Source organism: Homo sapiens, chromosome X (assembly GCF_000001405.40).
Source record: "Homo sapiens chromosome X, GRCh38.p14 Primary Assembly".
NCBI lineage: Eukaryota > Metazoa > Chordata > Mammalia > Primates > Hominidae > Homo > Homo sapiens.
This window is the reverse complement of record NC_000023.11, coordinates 24,375,651-24,384,891: the sequence shown is the minus strand read 5'-3', so window position 1 is coordinate 24,384,891 and position 9,241 is coordinate 24,375,651. Positions and strand designations below refer to the sequence as shown.

Genomic DNA, 9,241 nt, shown 5'->3' with positions numbered 1-9,241 from the left:
TAAGATAAGTTGTCATCTCTTTAAAATAACTTGTTATATCCATAAGATGTTTTTGTAAGCCTAATTGTAACCACAATGCAAAAACCTATAATAGACTCACTAAAAATAAAAAGCAATGAATTAAAACACACTACCAGAGAAAATTACTTAACCACAAAGGAAGACAGTAAGAAAGGAAAAAAGGAGTTACAAAACAACCAGAAAACAAGCAACAAAAATGGCAGTGGTAAGTCCTTACTTAATAATAACACTGAATGTAAATGGACTCAGTTCTCCTATTAAAAGACAGAGTGGCTGAAGGGATAAAGAAACAAGACAGAACTATATGCTGCCTATAAGAAACTCACTTTACCTATAAAGACACACATAGACTGAAAGTAAAGGGATGAAAAAAGATATTCTATGTAAGTGGAAACCAAAAAAGAGCAGGAGTAGCTACACTTACATCAAATAAAATAGACAAGTCAAAGACTGTAAAAAGAGAAAAATAAAATCACCACATAATGATAAAAGGGTCAATTCAGCAAGAGGCTATAACAATGATAAATATTTATGCACCCAGAACCACAAAAGACACAGAATAGCCAAAGCTATCCTAAGCAAAAAGAACAAAACCAGAGGAAACACATTACCTGACTTCAAATTATTCTACAGAGCTATAGTAACAAAAACATCAGGGTACTGGCACAAAAACAGACACATAGACCAATGGAACAGAATAGATAACCCAGAAACAAATTTATACATCTACACTGAACTCACTTTTTACGAAGGTGCCAAGAACATACATCAGTGAGAGGACACTCTCTTCAATAAATGGTGCCAGGAAAACTGGATATCCACATGCAGAAGAATGAAACTAGATCACTATCTCTTTCCATACACAAAAATAAAAATAAAAATGGATTAAAGACTGAAATCTAAGACCCCAAACTATGAAACTACTACAAGAAAACTTTGGTGAGACTCTCTAGGACATTTGACTGGGCAAACATTTGAGTTATACCCCATAAGCACAGGCAACCAAAGCAAAAATGGACAAACGGGATCACATGAAGTTAAAAAGCTTCTGCACAGCAAAAGAAACAATCGACAAAGTGAAGAGATAATCCATGAAATGGGAGAAAATACTTGCAAACTACCCATCTGACAAGGGATTAATAACCAGAATATATAAGGAGCTGAAATAACTCTATAGGAAAAAAAATCTAATAATCTGATTTAAAATGGGCAAAAGATCTGAATAGGCATTTCTCAAAAGAAGACATACAAATGGCTAACAAATGTATATAAAAAAGCTCAACATCACTAATTATCAGATAAATGCATATCAAAACCACAGTGAGATATCATTTCACCTCAGTAAGAATGATTTTTATTTAAAAAGGCGGGGGGGAATAACAGATGCTGGCAAAGACGTGGAGAAAGGGGAGCCCTCGTACAGTGTTAGTGGGAATGTAAATTAGTACAATCACTACAGAGAAGACTATGTAGGTTCCTCAAGAAACAAAAAATAGAGCTGCTATATGATCCAGCAATTCCACTACTGTGTATACACCCAAAAGAAAGGAAATCAATATATTGAAGAGATATTTGTACCTCCATGTTTATTGCAGCACTACTCACAATAGCCAAGATATGGGATAAACCGAAGTGCCCATCAACAGATGAATGGATAAAATGTGGTGTACATACACCATGGAATATTATTCAGCCATAAAAAAGAATGAAAACCTTACCACCCAGAGTGATTGTGAGTATAAAATCGTATGTGGTGAGAACATTCAAAAGTCTCTTCCAATAAATGTGTGAGGTTATAAAAATAAATAAATAAATAAAAGCACTGGACCCCCAAAAATCCCACGTGGACTTGGATATGCTTTGTTATCTGCAAAGCCCCATACAAACATAAAGGATTTGTTTCTCTCAGGAGAAATGCTAATGTCATTGGCAGCAACATAAATGGAACTGGAGGTCATTATGTTGAGAGAAATAAGCCAGACACAGAAAGACAAACATCACATGTTCTTACTCATATGTAGGAGCTAAAAAAGTGAATCTCATGAAGGCAGAGAGAAGTTTGGTGGTTGTCAGAATCTGGGAAGAGGGAGTGTATTAGTCCATTCTCACGCTGCTATGAAGAAACACCCGAGACTGGGTAATACATAAAGAAAAGAGGTTTAATTGACTCACAGTTCCGCATGGCTCAGGAGCCCTCAAGAAACTTACAATCATGGCTGAAGGCACCTCTTCACAGGGTGGCAGGAGAGAGAATGAGTGCCAGCAGGGGAAATGCCAGATGCTTATAAAACCATCAGATCTCCTGAGAACTCACTCACTATCACGAGAACAGCATGGGGGAACTGCCCTGATTCAATTACCTCCCACTGGGTCCCTCCTGCGACATGTGAGGACTGTGGTGATTACAATTCAAGATGAGATTTGGATGGGGACACAGCCAAACCGTATCAGAGGGCATGAAGAGAGATCAATTAATGGGTACAAACATACGCTTAGAAGAAACAAGACCTAGAGTTTGATAAATCAGTAGAGTGACTATAGTTAACAATAATCTATTGCACATTTCAAATAGCTAGACGAAAATAAATTCGTCCTAGAATAAACAGACGATAAATATTTGAGGTGATGGATATCCCAATTACTCTGATTTGATTTTTACACATTATATGAATATATCAAGTTATCACATGTACCCCAAAATATGTACATCTATTATTTATCAATAAAAATAAAAACAATTCAAAAAAAGTCATAGCGAATACTTTTTTAAAGTATACAAGCAAGAACATGGTTTATCTACAAATTCAAAATGACATATTAATATCATGTTTGGGGATCAAATGTGTATTAATAAGTAGATTGAAATTTAACTGTGTGTTGAATCCATCCAGACTGCTTCCATGGCCTGTTATTTGGAATTCTTGACTTTTGCACTTTAAAAAATACATTCCTTTATTATTATAATTTTTGTATTTTGTTTCTAAAAGAGGAGACACAAGCACTTTTTGGCAGCTATTTGCAAGCACTTCTTCAGAAGTAATATGCTGTGGAAATGGATAATTTTATTCTCAATAAAGGAAAAGCCAAGTTGGATAAAAACTTTTTATCCATATAAAATCTTTTAATCCATATCCACTATCCATATAGTGCATATTCCTTTTTATCCTTTTAACTTTTATTTTGAAGAACTAGAGATATATTGATGTAGTAAGAAATGATAATATGAATGTTCCTTACAGGTGTAAGGTCAAAATTCAGAATTATAATTTTTATGTCCCTCATCAGCTCATTCTATTTTTTTTTTACCATCTTAACCATTTTAAGTGTACAGTTCAGTAGCTCATTCTACTTTAAAATCAGTATTTTTGATGCCTCCTTTCTGAACCCAATAATCCACTGCGAGAATAAGTTAGACAATTGAATAAAAATAATTGAAAGCTGTAGAATGGTCAAAACCCCCATAGCAGATGAGGCCATCACCTGAGTGACAAAAGAACCAAGCAGATGATGCTGGAACAGGCCTGCTACTAACAGGCATAGGATCTTGACTGCCCCAAACAGCCAGTCAACACTTGGAGGCTTTTACAGTTGAAATGAAAACAGATTCCACTATTATTTTTTAAAAATCATAAACCTCAGAACACTTTCACAAACCCTGGAATATTCTTAGAACCAAAACTGAAGTTAGAAATCTTAGATTCATATCCTGGTTCCACCTCTCCCTAGCTCTGTGACTTGAGCAAGTTATTTTCTTTTTCTTTTTCCAATGCTCAGTTTGTGAATATACAAGTGAGGATTTAAAATATCTACCCAGTGAGCCTGGCCAGTCTACAATCTGGGCACACCACAGTCAGAAGCAAAGACAGGGAGAATGTCAACTTGAACTTGGCTTAAGTTGTTCTCACTTCAGTTTATTATCAAACTAGCAGATGGATAAAAGCTGTGCAAAGAATAAAAGTGATAACAACCCAAATAAGTGAACAGACGTAGCTCGTCAAAGCAGCTCTAACAGTGTGAGGAGTCTGCCAGGTCAGAGAAACAAAAAAAAGCCTAAACTCATTATATCATTAGACTGGGGCAGGGCCATGTCACAATAGCAGTGGTTTTCAAAGTATGGTCCCCAGACCGACGTTTTTGACCTGGGTATTTGTGATAAATACAAATTATTGAGCCCCAGCCCAGACCTACTGCATCAGGAACTTTGGGGCTGAGTCCCAACAATTTGTGTTTTAACAAGCCCTCGGGGGCATTCTGATTGGAAGCTCAAGTGTGAGAACCTGCCTTATGGCATGAGGCAATTCTTTTGGAACTGGTTTCATGTTCTTGTTATTTTTCTCATGGGCCTGCTTACCACCCAGGATGATTGTGAGGATAAAATCCTATGTGGTAAGAACATTCAAAAGCCTCTTCTGATAAATGCATGAGGTTATATAAATAAATAATAGCACTGGCCAAAAAAAAAAAAAAATCTCAAGTGGAATTGGAAATGCTTCATTATCTGCAAAGCCCTATACAAACAGAAAGGGTTTGCTTCTCGCAGGAGAAATGCTAATAGCTATGAATTTAACGATCGGTTCTGCACGGCACTGGCCAATTCAGCCCTATAATAGGTACAGGATTGGGCTATCCCAAAAGGCAATGGCCGGTAGGATCTTTTCCCTGCTGCCTTTGGGGATCACTTGCATTTTTATATGTGAAGGAGGAATAGATGGTGCATCAAGAGCCTACTAGCTTGAACTATCTGCCTGGGATCCAGTCTCCAGGAACATCTCCCAGGTTTGCTGTAAACAGCAGTGTCCAACAGAACTTTCTGTGATGATGAAAATGTTCTACAGCCCGCATTAGGCTACACTGTCCATTGTGCTAGCCACTAGCCACATGTAGCATTTAACAATATGACTAGTGCAATAAAGGAACTGCATTTTAAATTTTATTTCATCTTAATTTGAATCTCCACATGTGGGATGTAGTTATACTAAAACATAATTATTCTTTGTTTACCTGAAATTCAAACGTAATTGGGCAACCTGCATTTTTATTTGGTAAATCTGGCAACCTCGGTTAAAGATTATCAGTGACATTGACATTAACTCCTCCCGTGGAAAGTTTGATCGAGAGATTTTCGCTCATGACCAGAGGAAGCAGATTTGATCTTACCTTGGTCAGAAAGGGCACAGTGTTCTTTTTGGAAGAAAATTTTTGAAGGAATAGTGGCTGAGAAAATCAATGTAACAGATGACTAGAAATACAAAATTGTACTATCATTCGTATACTCATGCTTATTTCTCTGCAACTGAATCCATTCTCCACATACAGGTTTCAAAGGGAAACAGAAGGCAGTCCAAAGAGCCTAATTCAGTCAGGGATAATTCTGGGCTTGGAGCATGGTCCTAGGTATTACGGAGGAGCAGAGAGGAATGGTATCTATGGGTCATGCAAAGAAAGGATTGTAAAGCAAACCTTCCCTTCTTAATTGCTTAATCTCTTAGTCACCTCAATGGCTTATTACCTTATGAAAGTAATCATGAGATTGAAAAAAATAAGACCAAGATTCTTGCCTTATGACTATGCTTATGCTTTTGCTTTGCTTCAAAGACAAACAAAAAAAAGTATGGCAACCAGAATATTGCTAGTTCTCAGACAATATTTTCTGGCTGGGTGTGGTGGCATACGCCTGTAATCCCAGCACTATGGGAGGCTGAGGCAGAAGGATCGCTTGAACCCAGGAGTTCAAGACCAGCCTGGGCAACGTGGTGAAACCTCATCTCTACCAAAAACAGAAAAATTAGCCGATCGTGGATGAGCACACCTGTAATCCCAGCTACTCCAGCTGAGGCTGAGGTGGGAGGATCGCTTGAGCCCAGGAGGCTGAGGCTCCAGTGAGCCGAGACCATGCCACTGTACTCTAACCTGGCAACAAAGTGAGGCTCTGTCTCAAAAACAATAATAATATTATTATTTTGCTGACAACGCTATAATTTCAAGACGTGATTAAATAGAGATGTCTTTATCCCTCTACACACTCTAGCCCTCACTTTTTGCCATAACTATCTCCTCTTTTAAGAGATATTGACAAGAAATCAGTTCTTAAGGCCTCTAAGCTCATCTTTGATATAATAAAGAAGGTATTATTTTGTAGTTACTTATTTGATAGCATTATTTTTAACTAGAGGAAAGGATTTTGAAACTGGCACTCCTTCCCCAGGAATAGCAAAGGAACTTGGTGTTTTTATTAACTAAACATCATTCCAAGAGTTGATTCTTAGAAAATTCAGGTCTTCCAGTTTCCAAGAATTTTTAGGTCAAAGAGTAATGGTTGTAGTTTTCCTCTTTCAAAAGAAGGTTTTGATGTAACAAACATAGCCAGCAGGTTTAAAAAATGAATCGTAATAGCATTGTGTCTAAACCATCACCTTTGATGTTTTCCTATTTTCTCTATGGCCTAAAATACTCACATGGATATAATTTTAGCTTTGGAGATCTGATGACTTGGGAACCAATGGGTCTCCAGCAAGAGATTATTAGCGCATGCAATTGCTCTCCTCTCTCTTCTCTCCCCTCTCATGGGGTCTTTCTCTCTTTTCTACCCATTTCCCTATGAAAAGGTATTGAGTCTGGAAGACAGCCAGCATTCTAGTATTTGAATGGTTTAAATGGGTTTAAGCCATTTAAATGGGTTTACATTTCAATAACTCAGGTTTAAATTTGGAATTACAGCATTCACCCTGGAGGGCCACCATGTGATTTGCATCCAGACAGGTTCTCAAAATGTGGATGGTCCCTGATCCAGCAGCAGCAGCAGCAACACCTGGAAACTTGGAAATGCTAATTCTCAGGGCCCACCCACCCAGACCTACTTGGTTGACTTCAGTTACAGTTACCTGAGTATTCTATCCAAAAAAAAAAAAAAAAAAAAACCTTTCATGCTTCTCTTTCTTCAGAGTAGAAGAGTAGATCATCCTTCTCACTGGCACATTCAGACTCTTCTCCATGGAGTAGAGCATCTTTCAACGAGTGTATGGTCCCAGGACCATCAGCATCAGCATCCCTGGGAACTTGTTAGAGATACAAATTCTCAGGCCCCACCCCAGACCTGCTGTATCAGACACTCAGACAGTGGGGTTCAGCAATCTGGGTTTTAACAAGCCCCCTTGCGATTCCAATGCATGGTTGGGTCTGAGGAACAATGAGATAAGAGCATTTCCTGCTATTGAGCCTATTCTATGACTTAGATTTATTCTGAGATACCAAACAGCTACCACAGCCCTATTAAAAAAGCTCTTTGAGTAGTTTACAAGCCCATGGGATTGGATTCTTTTGTCAGTCTGCCTTATCCTCAAAAAGGTATTAAAAACAGTAAACACCATTCACAATATTACTCTGTAGATATATATCTGTGTTTCTCAAGAGGATTCATTGGAGGAAGGGTGTCTGAATTAGCTGTGTGGGATCTGTGTGGGTGGGATGGCAAGTGGGGAGAGTCGTGGATTTGAAAATGCCTCCTTTCCTCCTTGATGTAGGGGTGTGTGTGTGTGTGTGTATGTGTTTAAGTTAGGTTGGTAGAACAGTCTGGCAAGATTCAAATCTACTGGGGTATGAAAGCCCATTTTTATAATCCACTCATCGTGGCCCTATCACTGAACTCTTGATCTTTTTTTTAAACCATATGAATGTGAGTTTCCTTATTTAAAAACAAGTAAGTACAATTTGGTGACTATTCACCACATCATGCTATGCTCTATGTATGATCCTTAACATGCATTATGTCTATCGGTCATCACAGCAACTTGGGGAGGTTGGAACTCTCAAACCCATTTTGCAGATGAGGACACAGAGGAGGCTTATACAGATGAAGCAGTTTGCCCAAGGTAAGTAGACAGCAAGCATCAAGAGTCAGGATCTGAAAGGCCACTGTTTCAACGATGGTATGCCACCTCATGTGAACTTTGCATTTTCTGATTTGATTAGGGAAGACAATGACCATGCACTAAATGTTGAAAAATGACACATTCAATGGATGGAAAAGATATTTTAGTCTGAATGTAATTGTTTTGGGATTGGGCCGTCCTTTTCAAACTTGACTGTGTATACAAATCACCTGGGAATCTTATTAAAATGCAGATCCTGCTGGACGTGGTGGCTCACTCCCGTAATCCCAGTGCTTTGGAAGGCCAAGGCAAGAGGATCGCTTGAGGCCAGGAGCTTGAGACCAGCCTGGGCAACATATAGAGACCCAGTCTCTACTAAATAAATAAATAAATAAATAAATAAATAAATAAATAAATAAAATAAAATGCAGATCCTGATTCAGCAGGTTTGCAGTAGAGCCTGAGATTCACATTTTTTTCATTAAAAAATAGTGCTCTTTATTATAAATTACTGAAATGTTTCTTTTCTGAATAGAAATATAAATATGTGCAAAGTTTGACTTGGATTAGGATTTTATTGAGTTCTTCAAGCATCTCCTAATAGCCTCGAGGGCGTGAGTAGGGGGGAGGAGAGAGGACTGGAGGTGGAATCTTTATAAAAGAGTGATTGAGACATTGTAAACATTATTAAAAAACAAGAAACGAACAAAAAAATAGAGAAAAAAACCACCCCAACACACAACTGCCCTGTCCAGCCCAATACCTGACACAGAAAACTTTGTGTTTGTTTAGTTGCACCCCCCCCACTCCCCACCACACACACACACACACACACACACACACACACACACACACACACAAATCTGTTCCAGGTAATTCCATCGCTGCTACATTCCTGTAAGTTGTCACTGATCAGTGCTATGACAGAGCGGGAGCACCTGGGGTGGCAGCAGTCAGCATCTCCGATGACCTCCAGCTTCCCTCACCCAGGCAGGAGGGAGGGCTGTGCAGGGGCTGGGGGCAGTGGGACCTGGTGGCTCTGCTCTGACCACGAGGCGCCTCACTGGCCAATACTTACTGGGCTAACACTCCCAGTGCTCAGCTGGAAGGCATGGGTTTCCGCCCCCTCCCCACTTCCCTGTCTGTGGGCTGGCTGGGTGCCCTCCGGTGAGTCCCTCAGCCTCTCCACGCACTCCACGCATCCAGGCTGAGTGTGTGGCTTTCCTATGCTGGGTCCGTCTCCATGGTACAGGGAGCATTTAAGGCGAATGAGAATCACATTTCTAACCAGCTCCCAGGTGATAACGCTGCTGCTGAGCTGCAGACATTTCAAGTAGCAGGAGATGAGATAC

General features: G+C 39.2%; 1 annotated feature.

Moving 5' to 3' along the window:
• Positions 8,372–8,898: an enhancer, noted in NCBI's record as "H3K27ac-H3K4me1 hESC enhancer chrX:24394111-24394637 (GRCh37/hg19 assembly coordinates)". NCBI's record gives its function as "activates a minimal SCP1, AML or CMV promoter by ChIP-STARR-seq in primed H9 embryonic stem cells {active_cell/tissue: H9 hESC(primed)}" and the evidence as "EXISTENCE:reporter gene assay evidence [ECO:0000049][PMID:30033119]".